The 27,789-nt window shown below is 44.0% G+C and overlaps 2 protein-coding genes across 19 annotated transcripts in view, besides 4 other annotated features; one reads left to right on the top strand and one right to left on the bottom strand.

Annotated features, from left to right (window-relative positions):
• KDM2B (lysine demethylase 2B) overlaps nucleotides 1-15,928 on the top strand; it is a 173,819-nt gene extending 157,891 nt beyond the window's left edge. For all 12 annotated transcript variants that reach the window (XM_047429682.1, XM_047429681.1, XM_011538867.4 and 9 more), the window contains one exon: nucleotides 15,680-15,928. In XM_047429682.1, the coding sequence (XP_047285638.1) occupies nucleotides 15,680-15,913 (234 nt within the window). In that variant the 3' untranslated portion in view covers nucleotides 15,914-15,928. The remainder of the gene's footprint in view (nucleotides 1-15,679) is intronic.
• RNF34 (ring finger protein 34) lies at nucleotides 41-24,271 on the bottom strand. Of its 7 annotated transcripts, XM_047429564.1 has the most exons (9): nucleotides 24,171-24,271; nucleotides 22,294-22,350; nucleotides 21,582-21,647; nucleotides 19,276-19,540; nucleotides 8,012-8,230; nucleotides 6,478-6,885; nucleotides 4,055-4,147; nucleotides 3,611-3,812; nucleotides 41-1,003 (listed from the first exon to the last, which is right to left on the bottom strand). In XM_047429564.1, exons 5-9 carry the CDS (start codon nucleotides 8,213-8,215, stop codon nucleotides 813-815), a joined length of 1,098 nt encoding a protein of 365 aa, XP_047285520.1. In that variant the 5' UTR covers nucleotides 8,216-8,230; nucleotides 19,276-19,540; nucleotides 21,582-21,647; nucleotides 22,294-22,350; nucleotides 24,171-24,271; the 3' UTR covers nucleotides 41-812. The 7 variants fall into 7 exon arrangements, 6 of the variants coding, with proteins under 6 accessions (XP_047285520.1, NP_001381137.1, XP_024304959.1 ...); NM_001394208.1 differs by lacking the exon at nucleotides 19,276-19,540; XM_024449191.2 differs by lacking the exon at nucleotides 22,294-22,350.
• Nucleotides 6,236-6,436: a silencer, noted in NCBI's record as "peak2014 fragment used in MPRA reporter construct". NCBI's record gives its function as "represses an SCP1 promoter by STARR-seq MPRAs in K562 erythroleukemia cells {active_cell/tissue: K562}" and the evidence as "EXISTENCE:reporter gene assay evidence [ECO:0000049][PMID:32103011]".
• Nucleotides 23,100-23,631: an enhancer, noted in NCBI's record as "H3K27ac hESC enhancer chr12:121838561-121839092 (GRCh37/hg19 assembly coordinates)". NCBI's record gives its function as "activates a minimal SCP1, AML or CMV promoter by ChIP-STARR-seq in primed H9 embryonic stem cells {active_cell/tissue: H9 hESC(primed)}" and the evidence as "EXISTENCE:reporter gene assay evidence [ECO:0000049][PMID:30033119]".
• Nucleotides 23,632-24,163: an enhancer, noted in NCBI's record as "OCT4-NANOG-H3K27ac hESC enhancer chr12:121838029-121838560 (GRCh37/hg19 assembly coordinates)". NCBI's record gives its function as "activates a minimal SCP1, AML or CMV promoter by ChIP-STARR-seq in primed H9 embryonic stem cells {active_cell/tissue: H9 hESC(primed)}" and the evidence as "EXISTENCE:reporter gene assay evidence [ECO:0000049][PMID:30033119]".
• Nucleotides 24,649-24,728: an enhancer, noted in NCBI's record as "active region_7164". NCBI's record gives its function as "activates an Ori minimal core promoter by ATAC-STARR-seq in GM12878 lymphoblastoid cells {active_cell/tissue: GM12878}" and the evidence as "EXISTENCE:reporter gene assay evidence [ECO:0000049][PMID:35858748]".

Below are 27,789 nucleotides of genomic sequence, written 5' to 3'. Positions count from 1 at the left end.
TCACTTGATTTAGGAACTGACCAAGACAATGTAAACAAAAGCTTTTAAAACTAATTTTATTCCTAAAGTTAAAATCAGCTAGCGGGTAGCACTGAAAATACACCTTCACTATACAAAACAATGTAAACTGATTACACATTAATAAGGAATTTAGCACACACACTTCTAATAAAAGAAGCTAGATGCAGCCCTTGCTATAAAAAGCTATACCTGAACAAAAATGGACATGTGGAGTCTAAGGCCCTGGCAGTCGACTAGAGAATGTCAGTTGTTCCCAATTATGTTTAAATGCAGAAACAGCAACAATGTGGAAACTTACATTCATCAAATGTTAGCATTTAAAATATACATGACTAATAAAGTGAACATTCAGAGGAGCCACTGCTCAGCATGTTCCATGTCGGCCACTTGTGGACACTGATCTCATCCAAAGAGGACAGAAGTTTCAAACATCTGAGCAGTTTAAGTTAAAAATAGGATGAAGGGGAAATAAGAGAACAGGATAAGTGTCCTCCCAAGACAGCAGTGGCTGATGCCCACATGGCGCAAACAGGCTGACTTCAATGAGTGTTCACGGGATGTGTGATAAAGCCCAGCTGAGCCCGGGAAGCTCACGTGTCCACAGGCAGACAGGCTCACGGCATGGACCAATGTTTCCACAACTCAGGATGGATCTTTCTGTCCCCACTTAGTAGTCAAAATAATGTTTTAAAATAGCTTCAGCCTTTGAACATAACTTTCCAGTCCCTTCTGTGCATTGAAATGTTGGGGGTCAAGTTTGGGGGTGACTGTCCTGGTGAGGGGAGCCTGTTTCAGGACTTGAACACGTGCACGGCTCGCACCACATACTGCCGGCAGATGGGACACTCACTCATGCGCTTGCCGCACTTGGTGCAGGTAACCATGTGCCCACACTCCAGTAGGACACAGTCGATGACGGCATCCATGCAGATGCGACACAGGCTGTCGTCTTCCTCATCCTGCAGCTGCAGCCGCTCGCCATCTGAAAGGCAACAGAGAGCTAAGGCCTCGGCTTCAGGCATGGCCAGTCAGCCAGCCACCCTCCCAGTCCGAAGCTGAGCAGCCACCTGCTGAATGACCCCTGCAGGCCCAATGCCACCCCAGTGTTGTACAAGAAATAATCCCAACTTCTCTGCACTTTGGTTCTCTCCACTAGAAATGGCAATGATAAAAGCTATACCTCAGGGTTTTGTAAAGAATAAAATGCTTGACGTACCCAACAAATGTTAGCTATGTATTTCTATTTTATATCTTTGTCTAATTCAAGACATCTGTGATAGGGATATATTACTTCTGTAACTAGAAAAAGAAACCCTCAGCTGGTCTTCTGTAGATGGGCTTTGGAGTCAGGATGCTATTGGAATTTAACTCAGTTGCCCCAGCTTTGTAGCCCTGGGAACACCACAGTCTCTGGAGCCTCATCTCAGTAGGAAAAGGAGCCTTAGTTCCCCCTTAGGAAAGTTAGGAATAATTGTGCATCCTTCCCTCCCTAGCCTTAGAATCATCTCAAGCCATCTGTGTTCCTGGCCCTGCTGAAGTCTAACTTGAAAGAGATGGGCCGTCCTGGCTCTTGGCCCACCTTTACATCTGAGAAAATCCAGTCTGTGAATAAGAAAGACGATGAATAAGTTAAAAAAAAGTTAACCCCAGCCTGAGATTTGGCCATAGGGCTATGGATTTGGGTGCTTCCCTTTCTACAGGTCAGAGGAGATCAAAGGGAATCATGAATAGTTGGAACAGAACAGGAATTCAAGCTTGAAAGGTCAGTAGTCTCTAGATTTAAGAGAAATGTTTTACTGCCATTCATGGGGAGAGATTCTTGTGATCTGGGGTCTTAGTTCATGGCCCACGACTACTGGTGTGGACCTGGGGAGAAAGGATCTATGGGATGAGATGGCAGATATGCCAATGGAGAAGGCACTAGGCAACTCAAGATGAAATCAGAGTGGGCCTTGGTCTCTCCTTCTGTGTGGAGGGTTCCTTCCCACTCTTTAGAACTTAGGAAAGCAGAGGAGCCAGTATCTTGTCAGGGATATGGGAACAATCTTGGTAGTGACTTGGAGCCAGTCAAGCTAGGAAAGATGCCAGCTGTGCTCAAAACAAAATGTGTGTTCCACCCAAGCCAGAGATTGAACTAGGGTTAGATTATGCAGTGAGTTAATGGAGAAAGACACTGGAAACCATGCTGTCATAATAACAACCATGTTATATCCTACGCCGCAAAGTACTTAAGGGTGGGAATGGCATTATCGTTGTGCACTGTACATAGTTGCTATTTACATTTATGAAGTCAACTGACTTCTCCCCTCACTGCCAGAAAACCATTTCCCAGCCAGCAGCCTACGACCTCTGAAAGCTCTGAGGATGAAGATTCCTGCATCTACCACTGTGACATCATCTTTGAAGTAGGATTGCCAAAATATTTTGTGCATATTCTGGGCATAAACCTGTTCATCAACAAATGCTGTATTATAACCAGCTTTTAAAGGACAAAACTCAAGATGATAAAAGTTAATGATGGGAGGGCTGTTTAAGCTAGATAGGAACATAAGATTTGTTAGTCTGAACACCACTGAGGGTCAGGCATGGTGGCCCACGCCTAATTCAGCACTAGTCTGGGCAACATAGTGAGACCCTGTCTCAATTTAAAAATATTAAGTACATATATATTTTTTTTACAATTAAAAAGAAAAAAATAAATACAACTGAATTATTTTTTCTTGTCCATAAATGTTCCGTGGCTTGATCGTGTTACCAGCTGAGGAAGAATTTCTGTGCCAAATTTCATCAATGTATAGTTGAGAAGTTTTTGTTCTGTTTTGTTTTGTTTTGAGACAGTCTTGCTCTGTCACCTAGGCTGGAGTGCAGTGGCATGACCACGGCTCCCTGCAGGCTCAAGCAATCCTCCCCCCTCAGCCTCCCAAGTAGCTGGGACCACAGGCTGGTGCCACCACACCAGGTTTTTTTGGTTTTTTTTTTTTTTTTTTTTTTTTTTTAGAGATGGGATCTCTCTATGTTGCCCAGGCTGGTCTCAAACTCCTGGGCTCAAGTGATCCTCCTGCCTCAGCCTCCCAAAGTCCTAGAATTACAGTTGTGAGCCACCAAGCCCAGCCTAGTTCAGAAGTTCTTAACCTCAGCTTTTTGTGACTTACACAGAAATCTACAGATAGTTGATGCTAAGAACTATGTAACATCTGGGCTATAGGGAATTTTCCCCCTACTGTTAGATTTAAAAGTTGAGAGAACCAAGGTACTGGCCGGCCAAAGGCATTAGTGAGAAAATAAGCATTTTTACAGAGACGAGGAATTTAATTAGGGTTGTAACAAATAGTTAATTATAGTAAGAAAAACCAAATTGAATAATTTTCTAACTCACTTGGCAGTGGTGGTCTCGCAGCCATAATGAACATCACATAATGAAGTTACTCCTTTCCAGATCTATAAACAGGCTCATGTAACTAACTGATACTCAGTAAAATGGTACACAGCTTTCTCAAAAATAAATTTGACTTAATTGTGACAAAAACAACCCAGTTTTTAAAAGCCTAAGGAAAAATACTACAGGGAAAAAATGAAAAGATAAACCTACAGGACTTTTGGTTTTCTTCATTCTCTTTGTATAACCGGTTTACTTTCTCTACCAGTTCCCATTTTTCACAACAGCCAGAATAGTTGACAAAATTCCGAGCCAGAATTTCCTTCAGCTGGCGCACGCTCATTCCTTCCACATCATCAAGGCTTGACAAGTCAGACAGTGAAGCTCTCACTCTCTCCTTGGAGAGCCCGGGGTTCTGAAACCACAGAGCATCCATTAGCCCTGGTCCCATAAGTCCAGACCCTCCCCACTCTAAACTCATCACTGGCCCTGAATATTCTCCCAGCCATCTCAGCAGTCCTAGAAGTGTTTCAGTATACTGTCCTACATTCAAACCAGAAGAAACATCCTGTACTAATCTAGCGAATGTCCACAGGGCACTGTCCCTTCCTGTCAGGCTGACATGTCAGGGAAACCAAATTTTATAGGTGGCCTCACCCGATCCTCTGCGTTTTCTTCTTCATCATCATCATCCTCATCATCGTCGTCATCATCATCTTCTGTGTTTGCTGAAGTGATTTCACTTTGTACCTACACTTATACAACGTATCTGATTAGGTCAGGAATCAATCTGTATTTATCACTAGAGAAAACCTTGTCATTGATGCTCCCCATGATGACCAGAAAGCCAGCATAATGCACATCTTTGGATTCAGAATGCTGCTGACCCTTCCAAAAAGTTGGGCCCTACAAAATTGCATGAAGAACCTACCTTCCATAAAGTTAGCTCAAAACACAAATTCCTGTGTGTGTGTAAAGTTATAAAATCTAACCAGAGTATTAACTCTCTCAGGAAGGTCCCATAATGGAATGCCAAAGCCATTAAGGATATGGGACAGCACTGTGTCATTATCAAAGTACCTGCAAATGGCTAGTTTAACTGGAGCCTGTAAGATGCAGACAGAAAAAAGCTAAAGCTCTGATGGGTCAGCCCAAGCATCAGGGGCATCTGATTTGAAAGATCTCAGTCCTACCACAGCGTACTTAGACAATCTAATTCCAACGAAGGCTTTCTAGACTTCACTGATGGCTGAGGCTAATTCTAGTTTTTAAAATTTCTCAATCAGAACACTTTAGAAAACACAAATCTCTTCAGTTTGGGTTATGTACCTTCCTTCACATATTTTCTTTTGACTATATTTGACAATAGCTCTCCAATAAGCTAGGTCGGTTCCCAATTTCAAATATTCCACCCTGATTGCCAGGCACCATACTGTAGCATCCAACAATCCACATCACCCAAATGGTGGTGTATACCCAAAAGGGGTATGTAAGTCAGCTGTGCCTTATGTTTGCAGCATAAATATGCCAATTCTCATTTGGGAGAATAATAAAACTCCTGGCTTGGACTTATCTAATTTACGACTACAGTATGTGTTGCTTGACGACTAGGAGACGTTCTGAGTAATGTGTCCTTAGGCGATTTTGTCATTGTGCGAACATCACAGTGTACTTCCACAAACCTAGATGGCACAGCCTGCTACACACCTAGGCTATAGGGCATGGCCGGCTACGAAGCCGTACATCACGTTAGTGTACTGAATACTGTAGGCAGCTATAACACAGTAATAAGTATTTGTGTATCTAAACATATCTAAACACAAAAAAGGTACAATAAAAATATGGTATTATAATCTTACAGAACCACTGCCGTGTATGTGGTCTATCACTGACCAAAACATTATTAGAGGACACAGGACTATATCTAGAAGGCAATTAGACCAAATTTCCCTCTGCATTTATTCATTTACTAATTAAAAGACACTCTTGGCCAGGCGCGGTTGGCTCATGCCTGTAATCTTAGCACTTAGGCCAAGGCAGGTAGATAACCTGAGGTCAGGTATTCGAGACCAGCCTGACCAACATGGTGAAACCCCATCTTTACTAAAAATACAAAAATTAACTGGGGTGTAATCCTAGCTACTCGGAAGGCTGAGGCAGGAGAATTGCTTGAACCCAGCGGGGCAGAGGTTGCAGTGAACTAAGATCTCGCCACTTCACTCTAGCCTGGGCAACAGAGTGAGACTCTGCCTCCAAACAAAAAAAAAAGTCTTGCTATGTTGCCCAGGCTGGGGGTACAGTGGCTATTCACAGTTGCAATCATGGTACACCTGCAGCCTCGTACTCCTGAACTAAAGCAATCCTCTTGCCTCAGCCTGCCAAGTATCAGACTGCAGGCTCACACCACCGCATCCAGCTTTCCTCTACTTTTAATAACCCCCTTCTTCAGAGAAGAAAATTAAGCGTGAAAAAATTTGTTCAAAACATTTCTTTCAGCAGTTTAGAATCACTCACGTACAAGTAAATATTAATTACAAGCCTTTACATGTTATTCAATCAGGATGTCCAAGGACCTCACTGGGACAATATTATTAATTACAATTAGTAAATAACTACATTTTTTCACTAATTCAGATGGCTCTTTCATTAACTAAATTAGAACAATTTCACTGTAGCAAGACAAATGGGCATTAGGCTAACTTACACTACTGATTGTTTTCTGTGGTCACTGAAACACGTGCACTAACACATAACACTACAAATGTGTATGTGCTACTTTTTCACAGCCATTTCTTCAACAGTTAGTGTCTAACTGTGTAAGACAGAGAAATTAACTAAGGCCAAGAGACTGATGAGCTATTTTGGGACCCTTCAGACAGCAGACTTTGGAGCCACCTAGCACCTCAGCAGACACTATACATCAGGACAGCCTTTAAGTGCAGAGTTCAGCTGGGTGTGGAAGCTTCACTCCAGCACATGACTTGAAGTTTATCAGAAGTCATCAAGCACTAAAGGCCCCACCATATACGGCCAAGAATAAGCGTGCCGGGCCCTGGGTGTAATTAGTTACCCCCTCGTACCTGTGCCGGCACTCCAGATCTGGATGTTTGGTCTCCATCCATAAGCTCTCCCTGAAACGAAGACATAGTAGCAGAGGGGGCTGTATAGTTTGAAAAAAACGAACGTGTAAAAAAGCTAGAAGTCTGGGACCTTGAAGAATTCAGACTGCTTGTGTCCATGTCGTCCTCAGAGCCTAGTCCATGATGGCACAGTACTAGATCCACCAAGTCTTCTTTCTCACGACAAGTATCTATGGGTATATTTCTCAGAATGAGATACTGCCGCAGGTCCTTCACCTTCAGTCGCATTAACTGAGGGCGCTGAAATGCTGTCTCTTGTAATAAGTGACAAGTAGAACATCTACGGAGATTTTCTTGTAAGACTGAACAAACGGAGCAAAAATCCTTCTTGCAGTCACAGCAAACATGCTGAAGAAAGAAAAGCATTTGATGACAGCAAGATATAAACCATTATGAAAGCATGAGTTTTCTTTCTGCCTTCTACTAAAATTTAATTTTAGTTCTTAGTGAAGTCCCCAGTGGCACCAGACTATTTCCAGAGGTATTTTCATGTTTCAAAAGCCATGAAAATCAAAATATTCATTGCCAAGGCAGTCTGGATTCACAGAAGTTCTAATATAGGACTTTAAGAAAAACACACTCTTGTGTTAATGAATTAAAACCTTTCCACCCCTTGGTATAAACATGTAATTAACAAAACAGAGCTTGAACCACACAGAGCAGAAAGCAGAATCACACTTCCTGGTCTTTTCCTACATGAACAATTTCCTCCATTTAAAGAGCAGGAGACAAAAAGCATAACAGACTGACAGGGAAAGAGAAAGGCAACTGATCTCTCAAGGTGAATCCAAGAAAATACAGGACCCACTAATACAGTAATCTGTAAACTACACAGCCTAATCACAATCAAAGCCTTGCCACTAGAGAAGCTTAAAGAGGGCACTAAGATGTGGTCGTTTCTGCTCGCTGCATTGTTCCTGCAAGCTAACATTTTTTTTCCTTAAGTATTTCAGAAGACTAAACTAAAGATCAAAGAGAGCAAGGAGGCCTACCAATATGATGGGTCTCTGAATGACTTTCCATCTTAGTGAAAATAACTGTTAGCTAAGTATTTGATGTTGAATCTCTAAAGAGTAGTTAATTTATTGCATTCATTTATTCATTTGAAAGTTAAGGTACGGGATACTTTTTTGAAACTTGAATCTGAATCATAGTTACAGTAAATCATTTGTGAACAAAACTACAGACTAACAAATTTCTTGCTTTTGGAAATAAACATAATAGAAAATAAAATGATACAAACAGGTCAAAGTTCAGGAGAAAGGATGCCTGAACATGAGAAACAATGTCTATAAAACTTGAGCAGTAATATAATCCCTCCAATTAAGTATTTTTCTAGATGGAAAATGGCTAATGGAACTAAGCTTTTGATATTTTTATAAACAGAAATGAAAATTCAATAGCTATTCAAAATAACCTACAATCAAGAATGCTGACCCATGTGTGTTGTTATGTAACATTTCATCCAACTCACCTTCTTTCTAAAGACTGAAAATGAAAGCCCACAGGCTTTACAAACTATGTTGGGCCCTTCCGTAGCTGCTGGTGGGTAGGTGGAAAACTCAGGGTTTGGTGTAAATCTGAATGGACCGGTGGCTCCTGCAAATGCTGACTGCTGGCCCCTGACAGCTCCAGTTCCCATGACTTCATTCAGCAGCCCACAGCACGAAGCCCACATAGACGTGGCACCCGCCTAAAAAGGAACACAAATCCCACAGTTTAAAGCTAAGTGGAATCTGGGCTCTCTGGGATCCTCAGGGAATGCTATTCTGGAGAGGTAAGTTTGCCCTCAATAACTTTGAGATTACTATATTCCTCTGGGCACTGAAATTTCAAGCCATTTGGAAAGAATTTTCTGCTATTTCCAAAGAATATCTGGCATTGCCAATACCCATGATCTCTTGTTTAACAAAAAGAGAACATGATCCAAATTTTACAGAACAAAAAACCTCCCTACCCACCCAAAACAGATACATGTACACAGGCATGTAAAAAAAAAAAAAAAAAAAAAGACTGGACAAAAGTCTGTCCTGTGGTATATTTGGGATATGCATATACTAAAAATTCTTTGTTTTTCATCTGAAATTCAAATTTTCAGGCACCCTGTATTTTACCTGGCAACATTAGGCTGGTGGCCATTGCACCACAGTTCTACAGTCTAAGGCAGATTTTCTCAGCTATTATTTAACAGAAATAACATCAATTTATTTATTTATTTAAAATAAATTTATTTATTTAAAAACAGGGTCTCATTGTCAACCAGGCTGGAGTACAGTGGCGCAATCTCGGCTCACTGCAACCTCCACCTCCTGGGTTCAAGCGATTCTCCTGCCTCAGCCTCCCGAGTAACTAGGATTACAGGCACACGCCACACACTTGGCTAATTTATTTTTAGTAGAGATTGGGTTTCACCATGTTGTCCAGGCTGGTCTCAGATGCGTGGCCTCAAGTGATCTGCCTACCTTGGCCTCCTGAAGTGCTCAGATTACAAGTGTGAGCCACTATGCCAGGCCCATAAATTTAAATTACTTCATTTCCTTAAACCTCTGTTTTCGCATTTGTAATTGGGTATAATATACTATAGCATATGTAAATAATTTTTTAAATGACTTGGAAAACATCAAAACACCAACTGAAACTCTCTCTAGATTTTTTTGTACCTGAAGTTGTAGACAAACCAGAATAGATTTTAATGTATTATGTGTAATTTATTTTCTCTGAAATTTTCTCTACTTTCCAAATTCTTTTTTTTCTTGAGATGGAACTTCACTCTTGTTGCCCAGGCTGGAGTGTAATGGCGTGATCTCGGCTCACTGCAACGTCCGCCTCCCGGGCTCAAGCGATTCTCCTGCCTCAGCCTCCCCAGCAGCTGGGATTACAGGCATCCGCCACCATGCCCAGCTAATTTTTTGTAGTTTTGGTAGACACAGGGTTTCACCATGTTGACCATGGCTGGTCTCGAACTCCTGACCTCAGGTGATCCACCCACCTCGGCCTCCCGAAGTGCTGGGATTACAGGCATGAGCCACCGTGCCCAGCCTCCCAGCTTTCAGCGAGGGCCAAAGGCACGAGAATTGCTTGAATTCGGGAGGCGGAGATTGTTGTGATCCGAGATCAAGCCACTGCACTCCAGGCTGGGCGACAGAGCGAGAGTCCATCTCGAAAAAACAACAACAACAACAGGAAAGTATTTTTTTATTTTACCTTTTCAAACTGAAGATACTAAACATAATTTTTAATGAGTTGATAACCATCATGACCTTCCAAGGCGTAAGGGCTATTTGCTACTCCACTAAATGGCCCAGAACTAATGTATTGCTTTCTATGGTTTTTTCCTTGTCTCTTCCCTCTCTTTGAGCCACCAGGGCTATCACTATACCTGCCCAGAGTAACCTGTCTCCTTTTTACTGCAGTCTCAGAAACCTGATAACCATGCTTGTCCCAAGTATACATAAAAGAATAAATTTTCAGCGAGGGCCAAAGGCATTTTCCCATGCTTAAAATAAAAGCTATAGTGTTTAGAACGAATAGGCTTTTGCCTTTGTCCTAATTCTTAAGCATATTCTAGAATCTAGATAATGTGATAGGTAATGGAAGTCGAGATAGCTGAGGTATTAGTTAAAATGGCAGCATATAATAATACAGTTCCATTTATTTTATTATCTGATTCTGTCAAACATTTTATAATAGCATGTAAAATGCTGGACTGTTTGTCCAGCAAGCTCTTAAAACAAAAAGCAAATAAAAAGCCCTCAACCTTAAAATGCAAAAGGCACTTTGGAATGCAACAGAAGGATAATGGCTGTTTCTGCTATTACCCAGAAGTAATGTTGTATTATAAAGAAAGGAGAAGGTAAAGAAGAAACCACAACACAAGGTTCAAACAGTCTGAAGTATCAAAGCCAAGGATTTCAATATTATAAGTCTTCACACCCTATAATTCTCAAGAAATAGTGATGCCTTTAAAAGTCAGGTGAAGCCGGGCGCGGTGGCTCACACCTGTAATGCCAGCACTTTGGGAGGCTGAGGCGGGTGGATCACGAGATCAGGAGTTCAAGACTAGCCTGGCCAACACGGTGAAACCTGTCTCTACTAAAAATACAAAAAATTAGCTGGGCATGCTGGTGGGGCCTGTAGTCCCAGCTACTCGGGAGGCTGAGGCAGGAGAATGGCGTGAACCCGGGAGGCGGAGCTTGCAGTGAGCCCAGATAGCACCACTGCACTCCAGCCTGGGCAACAAAGCGAGACTCCATCTCAAAAAAAAAAAAAAAAAAAAGCTGGGCATGGTGGCAGGCTTCTGTAATCCCAGCTACTCGGGAGGCTGAGGCAGGAGAATCGCTTGAACCCAGGAGGCGGAGGGTGCAGTGAACCAAGATTGTGCCACCGCACTCCAGCTTGGGCAAAAGAGCAAAACTCCGTCTCAAAAAAAAAAAAAAGGACAGGTAAAATTATAACAGTCCATACCTTTAAATGATTATATACCTCAAACTCTACAGCCATGGTGTGCTTAAAAGCATGAAAATCTGGCCAGGCTCAGTGGCTTATGCCTGTAATCCCAGCACTTTGGGAGGCCAAGGAAGGTGGATCTCCTGAGGTCAGGAGTTCAAGAACAGCCTGGACAACATGGCGAAACGCCGTCTCTACTAAAAATACAAAAAATTAGCTGGGCGTATTGGCAGATGCCTGTAATCCCAGCTACTTGGAAGGCCGAGGCAGGAGAATCGCTTGAACCGGGGAGGCGGAGGTTGCAGTGAGCCTAGATCGCACCATTGCACTCCAGCTTGGGTGACAGAGTGAGACTCTGCCTCGAAAAGAGGAAGGAAAAAAAAAATAGCCTGGGCACAATGGCTCATGCCTGTAATCCCAGCACTTTGGGAGGCAGAGGTGGGGGAGCAGATCATGAGGTCAAGAGTTCGAGACCAGCCTGGCCAACATGGTGAAACCCCGTCTCTACTAAAAATACAAAAATAGCTGGCCCAGGCACCTGTAATCCCAGCTACTTGGGAGGCTAAGGCAGGAGAATTACTTGAACCCAGGAGGCAGAGGTTGCAGTGAGCCGAGATCACGCCACTGCACTCCAGCCTGGGTGACACAGCGAGACTCCATCTCAAAAAAAAAAAAAAAAAAGCATGAACATCTAGATTCACTAAGAGTTAATTTAAAGTTAGTGTTCAGCCAGGCACAATGGCTCACATCTGTAATCTCATCACTTTGGGAGGCCAAGGCGGGTGGATCACATGAAGTCAGGAGTTCGAGACTGGACTGACCAACATGGCAAAACCCCATCTCTACTAAAAACACAAAAATTAGGCCAGGCGTGGTGGCTCACCCCTGTAATCCTAGCAGTTTGGGAGGACAAGGCAGGCAGATCATGAGGTCAGGAGATCAAGACCATCCTGGCTGACACGGTGAAACCCCATCTCTACTAAAAAAACAAAAACAAAATTAGCCTGGCGTGGTGGCGGGCACCTGTAGTCCCAGCTACTCGGGAGGCTAAGGTGGGAGAATGGCGTGAACCCGGGAGGCAGAGCTTGCAGTGAGCCGAGATTGCGCCACTGTACTCCAGCCTGGGCAACAGAGCGGGACTCCATCTCAAAAAAAAAAAAAAAAAAAAAAAAAAAGATTAGTTGGGCATGGTGGCACGTGCCTGTAGTCCCAGCTAGTCGGGAGGCTGAGGCAGGAGAATCGCTTGAACCCAGGAGGCGGAGTTTGCAGTGAGCCAAGATTGCGCCACTGCACTCCAGCCTGGGTGACAGAGCGAGACTCCATCTCAAAAAAAATTAATAATAATAAAGTTAATGTTCTTTTAAGTAAAGGATTCATCCACAGTTCTTTAGAGTATGCACTCTTAAAACTGGAAAAACTTTGTTCTAAAAAATTTAGTTTGCACGTTACATTTTTTGGGGAAAAAAATACCTCAACTGCAGAAAGTACTCCCAGGATAAACTTCTCTTCATTCCAGGGTTAACAGAAGTGCAGTTTTACAAGTTTAGCTTCCTACTAATGTAGCTACTAAACCAACAGCTCTCTTAGCTTTTATCCCCCTTCTAATTCATGTCTGATGTTGCCTCCTGGACTACAGTGAAAGTTCCTCATGGACAAAAACTTCTTTTTCTCCTGCTCCTCTTTCCACCATGGTATGACTGACAAGTAACTGTGTAAAAAATTCCTATTATCTCTTCACAGACAATGTAACATTATAAAATTTTACATGCTATTTAGAAAGTTCAAAATATGTTTTCTTGGTAAAGAAAACCAAAAATCTCAAATGACACCCCTTTTTAAAAGCAGCACTGTCAGAGATTATGACCTTTGTATCAGGGATAGTTTTACAATGAATTAGGGAAGAATACAATTTTTCAAACCATGTTAATGAGTATGAGCATTAAAATTCTAGGCTGAAAATTTTTTTTTCAACTACACAGCTCTGGTAAAGGGAATAGAAGGACTTATTTTGGGAAAACAGATGGATTCTCTGTGTAGATACCAATTTTGGAGGGGGACAATTTTGTCCCATTCCTCACGTTTCTATACAAGGAAGGGAATTTCCTCTTTGTTCCCCAGAAAGAAAATGAAGAAAAACACTTAATTTAGCCCTCATTATAAAATAAAAAATTAAAAACAGGCCAGGAATGGTGGCTCACACCTGTAATCCCAGCACTTTAGGTGGCCAAGGTGGGAGGATTGTTTGAGGCCAGGTCAAGACCAGCCTGGGCAACATAGGGAGACTCTATCTCTACAAAAAATAAAATTAGCCAGGTGTGGTGGCATGTGCCTGTGCTCCCAGCTACTCGGAGGCTGAGGCAAAAGGATCTCTTGAGCCTGGGAGGTTGAGACTATGGTGAGCTATGCTTACGCCACCGCACTCCAGCCTGGGTGACGGAGTGAGACCCTGTCTCAAAAACAAACAACAAAAAAGCCCAAGCCAACCTCCAAAGTGTCCCAGGCAAAAATGTTGCTATAACCCAATATTCAGTACAACTCAGACACATATTAACTACTGTCAGCCAAATACTACAGGAATAGAAGGTAAAGAAGCAATCCTGAAAAATTTAGGTTGCAGCCTCATTAGAATCTCTGAACTTAAATTTGGGCAAAATCTTCCAATGAGAACATGATCTCCCAGTGAGAGAATAACCTTAGCATCATATTGAAGGGCAAATCCACTTATAGTTATCATCTCTGAGAGGAGCATTTGCAACACTCCAGCCTTCTGGAAAGTTCAGAAATTTGAAGCAGGGGAAGCCCCTGTCACTAGTATATTTGAAGTATTTTTTTTTTTCCCATCCAGCATTTTTTTTTTTTTGGTGGTTTTGAGACAGAATCTTGCTCTGTTGCCCAGGATGGAATGCAGTGGCGCAATCTCGGCTCACTGCAACCTCTGCCTCCCGGGTTCAAGCAATTCTCCTGCTTCAGCCTCCCAAGTAGCCGGGATTACAGGCACCCACCACCACACCCGGCTAATTTTTGTATTTTTAGTAGAGACGGGGTTTCACCATGTTGTCCAGGCTGGTCTCGAACTCCTGACCTCGTAATCCGCCTGCCTCAGCCTCCCAAAGAGCTGGGATTACAGGCATGAGCCACCACGCCAGCCCCATGCAGCATATTTGAAAATTTTAATTTCCATCTCCCCTTTAAGCCCCATATTTCCTGGCATCCCAGTGCTGAAATGAACATAATTCCTTTTCTTTTTTTTTGAGACGGAGTTTCGCTCTTGTTGCCCAGGTTGGAGTGCGATGGCACGATCTTGGCTCACCGCAACCTCTACCTCCCAGGTTCAACCGATTCTGCTGCCTCAGCCTCCTAGTAGCTGGGATTACAGGCATCTGCCACCATGCCCGGCTAATTTTGTATTTTTAGTAGAGGCAGGGTTTCTCCATGTTGGTCAGGCTGGTCTCGAACTCCTGACCTCAGATGATCCGCCCGCCTCGGCTTCCCAAAGTGCTGGGATTACAGGTATGAGCCACCACGCCTGGCCATGAACATAATTTCTTTACATTCATTTTAGCACTGAAGTGCCAGGTAACACCCACCCCCGCTGCCCTTCAGTGAAACAGGTGTTTTAGTCCTGTACCTTCGTAGCTGCTGTCAGTACTTCTTGCTAAGGAATTGCCTAGGGTTGTGAAACTGCCCTTAAGAGAATGGTTTTCAGCCTTGGCTGCATGTTGGACTCACCAGGCAAGTCTTTAAAAATACTGATTCCTGGGGTCCCAGGCCCAGAGGTTCTGATTTCACTGGTCTGTGGTGCAGCCTGGGCACCAGAATTTTTTTGAAAACTCCCTGGGTAATTCTGATATACAGGCCAGGTTAAAAGCTTAAGACCTGCTCAGTCAAAGGGAAGATGTCTTCTTCCTGCCTACACTGTTTCAGCTGGGACATCACCCTCCACAAATTCCTGAGTGGAAAGGGCTGTGGTTACTTTGGAAGCCTGTGGCCCTAGAGTTCTGGAACTAATGCCTCGGCAACATACTCCCCAAGACCTGTCTACATGTTTTTCTGTTGTGGGATATGTAGTATTTTGCATCCCACTTTGGTTTTACCCAATCCTTTAAGAAAGGGTCAGCTAAGTTTTGGCCAAGTGTTGTGGTCCATGCCTATAATCCCAGCAGTTTGGGAGGCCGAGGCCAGCAGGTCACCTGAGGACAGGAGTTTGAGACCAGCCTGGCCAACATGGTAAAACCCCGTCTCTACTAAAAATACAAAAATTAGCCGGGCATGGTGGTGCACGCCTGTGGTCCAAGCTACTCGAGAGGCTGAGGCAGGAGAATCGTTTGAACCTGGGAGGTGGAGGTTGCAGTGAGCAGATATCACGCCACTGTACCACTGCACTCCAGCCTGGGTGACCGAGCAAGACTCCATCTCAAAAAAAAAAAGAAAGGGTCACCTGAGTTTTTAACAATCTGATTCTTCAATGAATCCCTTTCCTTTTTACCACAGATTGGCCTGTAACTTTTGCTGGACTTTGGTGCTCTCCTTGATTTTATTTGCTCTTTGCCTTTGGGCCCCAACTTTTATTTCCCACCTTAACTCCTCTGCACGTTTTCTTGTGTGAAATCTCCCAATATGAGGAGAAAGTCAGTGATTTCTGGGTCTATCAAAAGCAGCCATTGTTCAAAGTGTTTTTGTCCTTCTTCACCTCCAGGATGAAGAATCCATCCAGAAGATAAATCCTTCCAAGCCTGGACTCCATCTACCTGGCTCTCCTTTAGTATGTTTCATCTTCCTGTACTTTCTCATAAATTTCAGAAATTTATTCTGCATGCCTCCTCAGGGCAAAGGCATCTCTACCTACAACTGTCACCTTGACACTCACCTAACAGTGCTTGAAGTGTCCTATACTGATCTTTCCCCTCTTAAATCTGTACACATTTTCTAGTTTTTATTTATTTTTATTTTTATTTTTATTTTTTAGACAGAGTTTCACTCTTGTTACCCAGGCTGGAGTGCGGTGGTATGATCTTGGCTCACTGCAACCTCTGCCTCTTGAGTTCAAGTGATTCTTGTGCCTCAGCCTCCCAAGTAGCTGGGATTACAAGTGCCTGCCATCACACCCTGGTAATTTTTTGTATTTTTAGTAGAGACGGGGTTTCACCATGTTGGCCAGGCTGGTCTCGAACTCCTGACCTCAGGTGATCTGCCTGCCTCAGCCTCCCAAAGTGTTGGGATTACAGGCGTGAGCCACCACACCTGGCCATTTATTTTTATTTTTTTAGAGACGGGGTCTTGATATGCTGCCCAGGCTGATCTCAAACTCCAGGGCTCAAGGGATCCTTCTGCTTCAGCCTCCCAAATCACTGGGATTACAGGCATGAGCTACCACGCTTGGCCCACATTTTCTGTTATGACTTGACAGAACCTATAAAAGCAATTGGAGAACTATTTAAAAGACAATTTCCCCAAGGGTTTATTGAATCTGAGCTCTTACAGTGGAGAGGGGGACAAGGGATGGGGGGAACATATGCCAATCTATTTTCTGAGCTCTTCACACTCTGCCTCTGTTATATTTCCTTGGAACCCAGTTACCATATCCGGTAGGGTCATAACCAACAAGGATCCCTCTTCTGCACCCTCCTTTTAAAAGCTTTAGAGACCTAAGTTCATGTTCTTTCCTGTTCCATTTCTGTCTTCCCTATACTTTAAGATCTTCCTCCAGTTAAATTAGCCTGTATTCCTTTATTTTTCTTTTATTCATTCATTGCTTCCATACTGATAGTAAGATTGAAGCATCTTCTACAAACCACTCCATTTCCTCCTAGATTTTGAGAAAACTCAATTCCTGGAAAGACAGCATACTAGGCGTAGCCCTTGGGCTTCCGAATTTGCAGTCAGTTCACTGAGTTGTTGTATACTAGGCATATGCCTTTGGCTTCTGCATTTGCAGTCAATTCACTGAGTTGTTGTATACTAGGCATACCCCCACCTCTGGCTTCTGACAGTATACTAGGCATACCCTTTTGGCTTCTGAATTTGCAGTCAATTCACTGGCCTCAATTCCAAAGTGGTGCCTTCTTTATGGAAGGGTCACCATCCATTATTTGTTCATTGGGGGAAAAAAACCCTACAGTTACTCCTCCGTGAATAAAGCCCAAAGCCAGATCTCTGAAAAGTCTGGAACTTTCAAAATGCAAGCCATGATCTGGGCTTTCATGACCTACTTGGGGACCTTAGTTGGCAGCAAAACTCCATGGGTTATACCACATGCATCCAAGTGGTATGTAAGAAGTATAACCCTTTTTCTAACAGTTTAGAAAGAACAATAATCTGGGGGGAGGGGGAAGGAGGGAGGAAAGGAACAAGGGGTGAAAAACTAACTGTTGGGTACTGTGTTCACTACCTGCTGGCGGGACCAACTGTACCCCAAACTTTAGCGTCACTCAATATACCCATGTAACAAGTCTGTACGTGTACCCCCAAATCTAAAAGTTGAAATTATATTTTTAAAAAAGAACGATAATCGTGAAGATAGCTAAATTTCCTCTCTTGACCATGAATGTAGTTTAAAACAACATAGAGAATAAGAGAATGAGGCAACTGTCTGCCTATGCCTAGCACAAAACTCCAAGCTCAGAGAATTCACCTGTGTTTGGAGTTTATTTTCTAGTCATCAGTGATTACTAAAAATAAATGACTTGTTCTTGATAGTCTAATCCCTTTCCTACCCACTCTCTTAAGCCAAAGCTGCTCTCAGTAGAGCCACCATAGGACCATGGTCTGCCTGGCTTATATCAGTTAAAAACCAGGTATCGTATTTAAAAACTTAACACCAGCCCGGCGCGGTGGCTCACGCCTGTAATCCTAGCACTTTGGGAGGCTGAAGTGGGCGGATTGCTTGAGCTCAGGAGTTCGAGACCAGCGTGGGCAACGTGGTGAAACGCCATCTCTACTGAAATACAAAAAATTAGTCAGGCGTGGTGGCAAGTGCCTGTAGTCCCAGCCACTGGGGAGGTTGAGGCACAAGAATCACTTGAAATGGGAGGCGGAGGCTGCAGTGAGCTGAGATCACGCCACTGCACTCCAGCCTGGGCGACACAGCAAGAGTCTGTCTCAAACAACAACAACAACAACAACTTACACATTCCATAATAAGAAATCAAATTCTAAAACCTGCCTGGACTGCCTCAGACACCTAGATATCCTCATGTCATTCTGGTATCCAATGCCAGTTCTCCTCTTTTCTTCAAAGACAGTGCACCAAGATTTTAGGGAGCCAGTAACAGTACCTTTTTTCCACATCCAATTTGGAGCTAATTAAGAAATAAGACAGGCCGGGCACGGTGGCTCATGTAATCCCAGCACTTTGGGAGGCCGAGGCAGGCAGATCACAAGGTCAGGAGATCGAGACCATCCTGGCTAACATGGTGAAACCCCGTCTCTACTAAAAATACAAAAAATTAGCTGGACGTGGTAGCAGGCACTTGTAGTCCCAGCTACTCAGGAGGCTGAGGCAGGAGAATGGCGTGAACCTGGGAGGCAGAGCTTGCAGTGAGCCGAGATTGCACCACTGCACTCCAGCCTGGGCAACAGAGCAAGACTCCGTCTCAAGAAAAAAAAAAAAGAAATAAGACAGAGGCCGGACACGGTGGCTCACGCCTGTGATCCCAGCACTTTGGGAGGCCGAGGCAGGAGGATCATCTGAGGTCAGGAGTTCCAGACCAGCCTGGTCAACATGGTGAAACCCCGTCTCTACTAAAAATACAAAAATTAGCCAGGTATGGTGGTGGATGCCTGTAATCCTAGCTACTCAGAAGGGTGAGGCAGGAGAACTGCTTGAACCTGGGAGACGGAGGTTGCGGTAAGCAGAGATTGCACCACTGCACTCCAGCCTAGGTGACAGAGCAAGACCCTGTCTCAAAAAGAAAAAAAAAGCAAGAAGACAAATGGAAATTAAAATGTTTGTTTTTACTGATAGCATCAACTGGAGAACAGAACCTTAGCTCTGTAGCCAAGTCTGGATAATATACAGCTGACCAAGAGCAGCTTACCAGCTAGTTGAGTGGAGACCAGAACTCCATCTTCACTACAGGAAGACAAATGTGAGAAGGTCCCAGAAAGTACTGAGCCAAGCATGTCAGTTCCTTCACTGAAACTCCTCAATATTCAAGTCCCTCTTTTTCCTCCCATAGCAGAGACTGACAGTGTTTCTCCCATACTGTTCCCTCCCCAAAAATGAATTAGAAGCCCCCTCCCCTCTGTAGGAGCAAAGGAGAGGAAGCAAATGGGAGGGGAAAGAATACAAACCTAAATAATCTGCGTAAGAGTAGGAATGACAGTTTCCAGCCAATAAGGTTATAAGGACTCTCTCAGGTTCCTCAGTCAGAGTCAAACAATATAAGCCCATGAAACATCATTACAGTCAACAAAAGCAAGAGGAAAGGTGTTCTGTTTCTTTGCAAGAGCAGCAGCCCAGCTCTCTTTCTGGCACAGTGCCAGGATTTTCAAATGGCCTCAAGGTTCAGCTGTCTTTGCTTCTGTGTGTGTATAATCTAATATGTTTTCAGAATCCCTGTGGGGAGAAAATACTTCAAAATGCTCAATTTAAAGAATTCACAAATTTACCACAAATTTTCAACCCTAAACTTTTAATGATTCCATTAAATATATTATCAACCAGCCAGACTAGAACGAAGAATCAGAAAAGCTATGGTAGTTTCCATGAAGATTAAATGACAGGCTGGGCGCAGTAGCTCACACCTCTAATCCCAGCACTTTAGGAGGCCAGAATCACTTGAGGTCAGGAGTTCAAGACCAGCCTAGCCAAGATGGTGAAACCCGGTCTCTACTAAAAATACCAAAAAAAATTAGCTGGGTGTGGTGGTGCACAACTGTAGTCCCAGCTACACAGGAGGCTGAGGCAGGAGAATCACTTGAGGCGGAGACTGCAGTAAGCTGAGATGGTGCCACCGCACTCCAGCCTGGGCAACAAAGAGAGACTCCATCTCAAAAAAAAAAAAAAAAAAAAAAAAAGATTAAATGACAGCCAGACACAAGAGAAGTATAGGGGGAGAGTGGGAAAAGAAAGTTTATGAGTATGAAAACAGACAACTAGGCCAGGTGCCATGGCTCAAGCCTGTAATCCTAGCAGTTTGGGAGGCCAAGGCAAGTGGACTGCCTGAGCTCAGGAGTTTGGGACCAGCCTGGGCAACATTGTGAAACTCCGTCTCTACTAAATACGAAGAAAAAAAAAAAAAATTAGCCGGGCATGGCAGCTACTTGGGAAGCTGAGGCAGGAGAACTGTTTGAACCCGAGAGGCAGAGGTTGCAGTGAGCTGAGATCGTGCCACTGCACTCCAGCCTGGCGACAGAGTGAGATTCCATCTCAAAAAAAAAAAAAAGAAACAGAAAACTAAATGATCTAAGTCATTCACTTTTTATTAAACTAGGTAAATAGCAAGGTAATAATAATGCCATAGACTCTTCTCGTAAGAGTCTATCTTGCTTGCCAAAACTCTAATATGTTACTACACAGTCATTCACTTTTTATTAAACTAGGTAAATAGCAATGTAATAATAAACCCATAGACTCTTCTCATAAGCGTCTACCTTGCTTGCCATAACTCTAAGTTAAATATATTATTTACACAGTTATTTTAAGGATGAACCTAGAAGTTTTAAATTCAAAAATAATTGTCTCAGATGCTACATGAATCTACAAGGACCAAGGAGCGATACTGTTCTTCCATCAATGAAAGCTTCCTCAGAGAACTCACCCACTATATGTCCAGGGTTTGTTTCAAACTCTGGACAACCTTCAGTTTGCTAAAACTCAATGTCCTGTGTTAAACGACAGGAAAAAGATGTATTAAATCTTAGCAACGGTGATATAAAATAATCGGTTTTACAGTTTAATCTTGGTTAGGTTAAACTTTCCTACATAACTAAAAGCAAAGCAGAAAAAACAGTTGATAAAAAAGCAAAATCTTTATCCTTTTTTTTTTTTGTTTTGGTTTTTTTTTTTGGAGACAGAGTCTTGCTCTGTTGCCCAGGCTGGAGTGCAGTGGCGCAATCTTGGCTCACTGCAAACTCTGCCTCCCGGGTTCACGCCATTCTCCTGCCTCAGCCTCCAGAGTAGCTGGGACTACAGGCGCCCGCCACCACATCCAGCTAATTTTTTGTATTTTTAGTAGAGACAGGGTTTCACTGTGTTAGCCAGGATGGTCTCAACCTCCTGACCTTGTGATCTGCCTGCCTCGGCCTCCCAAAGTGCTGGGACTACAGGCGTGAGCCACCGCGCCCGGCCTCTTTATCCTATTTAGAGCCATTTGAGAAACATATGCTCCTTAGAATGTGAAAGGATTTCTTATCAAAACTGCTGCTTCAACTGAAATACAATATGCAGGGACCTAACTCTTTCTTAGTGACCAAATATCCGACCATATACCACAAAGGAAGGAATTCTACATCCTAAATTATTTCTCTCATACCATTTGGACATTAAGCAGGTTGCAAAAACAGATGATGAACTCTAAAATGTAATACTTTTAGACAAGACATTGGCCAAACTGATCGATTATTACAATAACATGTGCTATAGATACAAATGTTACCTTCCTCATGCTTGGGTTTTTGTTTTCTTTTAACAGTATACTTGATCCTTAGTACCACTCCCCCACCTTTCAGAGAAAAAAAAAGGAAAAGGAATTACATTCAGTAGATTACTTTCTCCTTGATATCTCATTTTGAGCTTGGAAGAACCCAGATTAGCACAATTAATGGTGAGATCAATATAAATAAGGAAAAATGGGAAAGAGGATTAAATCAAATTAACACAGGGCACCAATTTGGATTTTTTTTTTTAATCCCTTATAGGAAGTTGATTGGATGTTACTGCAAGGTTAAAAAGTTACTTGAGTCTGAGAGGTAAGACCTATTTCAAAACATCAGTTTCTAAACCAAACCAAACCAAACCAAACCAAAACGCCAAAGGGAGAAAGTAAATACCCATTCCGTACATATACTAAAACCAGCTGCTCCAGGTTTGAGTGAACATGTACTTATCCATATAATTGCTTAGCTTTTCTTGTTTATTTTTAACTGCTTAACTTTTTTTTTCCTTTTTTTCTTTTTAAAATAATTTTTAATCGAGACAGGGTTTTGCTATGTTGGCCAAGCTGTTCTCGAACTCCTGACCTCAAGTGATCCATCTGCCTTGGCCTCCCAAAGTGCTGGGATTATAGGCGTGAGCTATTGCACCCGGCCAGGTATACTTGCTTAGCTTTTAATGTAATTTTAATTCCACAGAAAGAAGTATTTCCTTACATGAACATTCACATGTTAGCATTCCATGACATCAGGAATCAGTCTCTGCCCAGAAATCTACAGATGAGCATACCCACAATTAAACAATTTCAATATAAATCAACATTAAGTTAAATAATAAACATTTAACAGCCCAAATCCTCAATGGTGTAAATCCAGTTTCACAAAAACAAAAGCATCATTTATAACTGTCATCTGGCACAGGCTGATGTCTATTCAGGTCCATATTTTGCTTCTGAAAATACGTATCTTTTCTATAATTTCAATTGCCACCAAACTTTGTTTCTAAAATTTCATCTTAGAAAGTAGTACCTTCCACTTCAATTCAAAACACACGTCTGTTTTCAAAGAACTTGTTTAAAAATTTCAACACTGGACCTGTCTCTAATTCTTTCCTTCGATAGCTAGTTCCTTAATGGGCCACAAATTTAATATTAATAAAGATACTGATTCTTCGAGGCATTATATATAAAGATCCCTGCTTTGTTTTTGGATCTTAACACAGCAGAGGGTGGTTTTCAGGAAATAAAGCTACTTCTAGATACTTTAATAGATATTTCAAGCTGTAATAATATTTTATAACTAAACTGGAAAGTTAAAAATAAGCTTTTACAATATCCTCATACTTCAAGGCACAGTTCCAAAGTTACCTATTCCAAAAATATTCCTTGCTTTCTGTAGCCAGAAGTATCCTTTCTGGCTCCTGTGTTTTGTCCCTGCCTTTTTTTTTTTTTTTTTTTTGATACCTATAGCCTTCTGCCTTGTAATATGGTTACTTACAAATAACTCTTCTTTTGAATGGTAAACTGCCTTCCTAAGGGATGAGACTGTATTTTGAATTACTTCTCTTCACCATGTCTCCCTCTTGGCTAACGCACAGAAAACGTTCAACAAAACATGTGCTGAATTTCTGTGACCAGCTGACACTCTTTTTCAATCTTCTATAGTAAATCTTTGACGCTTTATGGAGACAGCGTTAATCTAGCAGCTCACCTGCTAGATTACCCACCCCCAGCACACCTCTGCACTGAGATTAACGAAACCATCTAGGTCTGAAAGTTATCATCACCTTATGACTCATCCCACTTGGTTTGAGTTCGGCAAATGAATCAATACCCTGAACTGACTGCTGTTCACAAAGCTCTTCAGAACTCTCAGTGATCGGGTTGAGAATCATCTCTCAGAAGTAGGCCGGAAACCCCGCTCCCCTTTCCCCTTTTCTTCAACTTCTCATCAGTAATGCTCCCACGCTCTCACTCCCACCTTGGAGAACTCAAGCTGCCAAATTCCTTGCTGCGTTTACCTAGTGGCGATGGAGGCACATCCAGCCTTCTCTAGTTCGCGGCCCCGACGTGCAGCCTACGAAGCACCCCTTCCGGGTGGCATCCCCACCCTGAGAGTTCTTTAACCCGTTAGCCTGGCCCTAGCCTCACCACCCCCTGCACCCCTCCTGTTCTCCTCGGTCCCACGATGTCCCCAACACTTGGGTTAGTTCAAGGACTCGGGGCGGGAAAGGGCACGCCGCGCGCCAAGGGACCGAGGCTCAGGCGAGCCCTGGCGGCTCTGCCTCAGGCCCCCGAGGAGGCGCACAGGGCCCGGCGCAGAGAGGGGCCCACCCGGCGCGAACGCTAGGGACGCCCGGCTTCTCCCCACCGCTCGGGTCGCTGACGGGGGTGGCACTGGAGGAGCTCGAGAGGGTCCGGCAGCCTGCCCTGGCTCGGTTGGGGCACCTGAAGCCGGGCAAGCGACCCCCCTCAGCGCAGCTCTCCGAGATGACGACTAGGTAACCGCTAAGGCGGAAAGAAAGGAGGCGCTTCAGGTGCCCTGGCAGGATAGGATTGGCGAGGAGGGTCTGTCCGGCTCCACCGGCCCCTCACCTTCATGGCCGCGACCGCCTCAGCTCGGCCGGCTCTACCAGGAAACTCAGCACCATAGCAGCTCCTCACACTGCCGACCTCCTTCCCTCTGGGCGGTGATTACCGCGCCCCGGGAGGCGACCGAGCGTCCGGACGTAAGGGGCGTGGTCACGCTCGCCGCGTGCCCCGGTAAAAGCGCAGAGCGGCGGCCACGACGACCAATAGGAAGCCGACTTTCGGGAGGCCGGTCACCAGAGCCAATGAAGCGACAGGGATTGGGCGGGGCCTCTGGCGTTCCTCCTGGCTGGGAGTGCGCGGGGAGGATTCTTTTCCGCCCCGAGCGAAGACCTGCGGACCTGGGCGTGGCGGAAGGCGCGCTGCGGCGCTGCTTTCTCGGTTGGGTGTTTGAAATGGGAGATAGCGTCCCTGAGGAAGCTGCTGCGGCTTTCTGGGCTAGGTGGTCAAGTTTCCGGGGAGGGGAGCGCGGGAAGGGCCGTGGTGAATTTGAACACGCCGGTTGGCTCGAAGGCCTTTGTTATGACCGTCAGAGCAGGGCCTCAGATTTCCTTCCCAGACGTTCCCGCGTTCATGCTCGGTGATGACCTCGGGGCTCCTCACTCGTGGGTCCGGTAAGGAGCGGCAGCTGCACTCGCTAGGACGCGGCCTTTAAAAACAAGACTTATTGAAAACACTTAGAAAACCAAGGGCTCTCAAATCCCAAGGGCTCTTTGAAAAGCTGTATTCAAAATAACCAAAATCGTAGCATAATAAAAGAATTTGCTCGAGTCTTGGAATTGCCTTTGGACAGAGAAACTGAGGTTGTAAATTAAGGTATCGATTTCTTCAGCTGTACTGGATGACAGTTTATTTTCCTACACCTTTTTTTTATTTTTGACAAGGTCTTGCTCTTGCCCAGGCTGGAGTGCAATAGTGTGATCTCGGCTCACTGCAACCTCCGTCTCCCGGGTTCAAAGGATTCTCCTGCCTCAGCCTCCCTAGTAGCTGGGACTTCGTGCGCCCGCCCCACACCCGGCTAATTTTTTCTATTTTTAGTAGAGACTGGTTTTCACTGTGTTGGCCAGGCTGGTCTAGAACTCCTGGCCTCAGGTGAGCCGCCCACCTCGGCCTTCCAAAGTGCTGAGATTAGCCACCGGGCCCAGCCGATTTTCCTACACTTTTTAATCTCACCTCTAACTTAACCAGTATTTAAGATTTTAAACATAAAAAAGTCAGTTCGCTCTTCATGAGGACCTAAGACTGTTCTGTTATTTATATACATTATAGATTTGCTTCGACAAGTTGTGCTATATTAGATTAAAACACACGGAGAGAGAGAGAGTGCGTGGCAGGCCACTTCCTTAGACTGAAATAATGCATCAGAGTATGTATTTCTCTTGCTTCAAGTGCTGCTCAGATAATGTCACTTCTTATCCATAATAGTCCTAGGTTTTTTTTGGAAAAATGTACAGAAAGCCTTTCATTCACGATGTAGGACGCAGCTGAGCTTCATTGGAAGAGAAAGTATTAATTAATTCTCCTAATGATCTAGACACAAAGCAACTCAATAAAAATGTTCTTGGGGTACAAAGCCATGGTTGTCCCTCATTAGAAAAGGCCTGGCAGGTCTACCTCCAGAGTTAATAAGCACATGAAAGATGCTCAACATCATTAACTATCAAGGAAATGCACATCAAATCCATGGATACCGCTGTGCGCCTGCAAGGATGGGTAACATTAAAAAGAAAGAAAATAGATGGTGAGGATGTGGAGAATTTGGAATCTTCATACATGAATGGTGGGAATGTAAAATGATGCAGCTGCTATGAAAATGCCTGACAATTCTTAAAAAAAAAAATTTTTTTTTTTTTGAGACGGAGTCTCGCTCTGTCGCCCAGGCTGGAGTGCAATGGCGCGATTTCTGCTCACTGCAAGCTCCGTCTCCTGGGTTCACGCCATTCTCCTGCCTCAGCCTCCCAAGTAGCTGGGACTACAGGCGCCCGCCACCGCGCCCGGCTAGTTTTTTGTATTTTTAGTAGAGACGGGTTTCACCGTGTTAGCCAGGATGGTCTCGATCTCCTGACCTCGTGATCCGCCCACCTCGGCCTCCCAAAGTGCTGGGATTACAGGCGTGAGCCACCGCGCCCGGCCCAAAAATGTTAAAACATACAGAGTTACCATAAGACCCAGAAATTCCACTCCTAGGTGTATACCCGAGAGAAATGAAAACCTAGGTCCACAGAAAAACGTACATGCTAATGGTTCTTAGCAGCATTATTCATAATAGTCAAAAAGTAAAAACAACCCAAATGTCCATTATCTGAGAAATGGTTAAAGGAAATGTGGTCTCTCTATGCAGTGGAATATTATTAGACCAAAAAAGGAATGAAGTACTGATACATACTGCAACATGGATGAACCTTGAAAACATCATGCGGCTGGCTGAGTACAGTGACTCACTCCTGTAGTCCTAAGGCTTCAGGAGGCGGAGGCGGGCGGATCACATGAGGTCAGGTGTTCGAGACCAGCCTGGCCAACGTGGTGAAACCCTATCTCTACTAAAAATACAAAAAAAAAAAAAAAAAAAAATAGCCGGATGTGGCGACGCACGCCTGTAATCCCAGCTACTCGGGAGCCAGAGGTGGGAGAATCTCTTGAACCCAGGAGGTTGAGGCTGCGGTGAGCCAAAATTGCGCCACTGCACTCCAGCCTGAGCGACAGAGCAAGGCCCTGTCTCAAAAAAAAAAAAAAAAAGAAAAGAAAAGAAAAGAAAAAGAAAATAATAATGCTAAGTGAAAAAAGCTAGATACAAAAAGATTATATATTGTATGATTCCATTTACAGGAAATGTCCAAAATAAGCCAATCCATAGAGATAGAAAGTAGAGTAGTGATTAAGGTCTCTGAAGGAGGAGGGGGGAAATGGAGTGACTGCTACTAGACACAGGTTTCTTTTGGGGTAATGAAAACATTCTAGGAGGCTGGGCGCGGTGGCTCACGCCTGTAATCCCAGCACTTTGGGAGGCCAAGGCGGGCGGATCACGAGGTCAGGAGATCCAGACAACGGTGAAGCCCCATCTCTACTAAAAAATACAAAAAATTAGCCGGGCGCGGTGGCGGGCGCCTGTAGTCCCAGCTACTTGGGAGGCTGAGGCAGGAGAATGGCGTGAACCCGGGAGGCAGAGTTTGTAGTGAGCCGAGATCACGCCACTGCACTCCAGCCTGGGTGACAGAGCAAGACTCTGTCTCAAAAAACAAAACAAAACAAAACAAAACATTCTAGGCCGGGTGTGATTGCTCATGGCTGTAATCTGAGCACTTTGGGAGGCTGAGACGGGAGGATCACCTGAACCCGGGAGTTCGAGACCAGCCTGGGCAACATAAGGAGATCCCATCTCTACAAAACATAAAAACAAAAATTAACTGGGTATCGTGGTGCACACCTGTAGTCCCAGCTACTCGGGAGGCTGAGGTAGGAGGATCACTTGTGCCCAGGAGGTCGAGGCTGCAGTGAGCCACTGTACTCCAGCCTGGGTGACAAAGCGAGACCCTGCTCAAAAAAAAAAAAAAAAAAAGGAAAAGAAAACGTTCTAAAATTAGCTATGTGAATGGTTGTACAGCTCTGTGAGTATACTAAAAACTAC

Source organism: Homo sapiens, chromosome 12 (assembly GCF_000001405.40).
Source record: "Homo sapiens chromosome 12, GRCh38.p14 Primary Assembly".
Taxonomy (NCBI): Eukaryota; Metazoa; Chordata; class Mammalia; order Primates; family Hominidae; genus Homo; species Homo sapiens.
The sequence above is the reverse complement of the archived record's forward strand: the minus strand, read 5'-3'. Positions and strand labels throughout refer to the sequence as shown.

Bases quoted from the DNA above. Each gene is read 5' to 3' on its own strand.
- RNF34 (NM_001394208.1), bottom strand. The intron at 6,886-8,011 runs GTGAGTTGGATG...TTCTTTCTTCAG, and splicing joins TTTCAGTCTTTAGAAAGAAG to CATGTTTGCTGTGACTGCAA. The intron at 4,148-6,477 runs GTACGAGGGGGT...GTATAAGTGTAG, and splicing joins GATCTGGAGTGCCGGCACAG to GTACAAAGTGAAATCACTTC.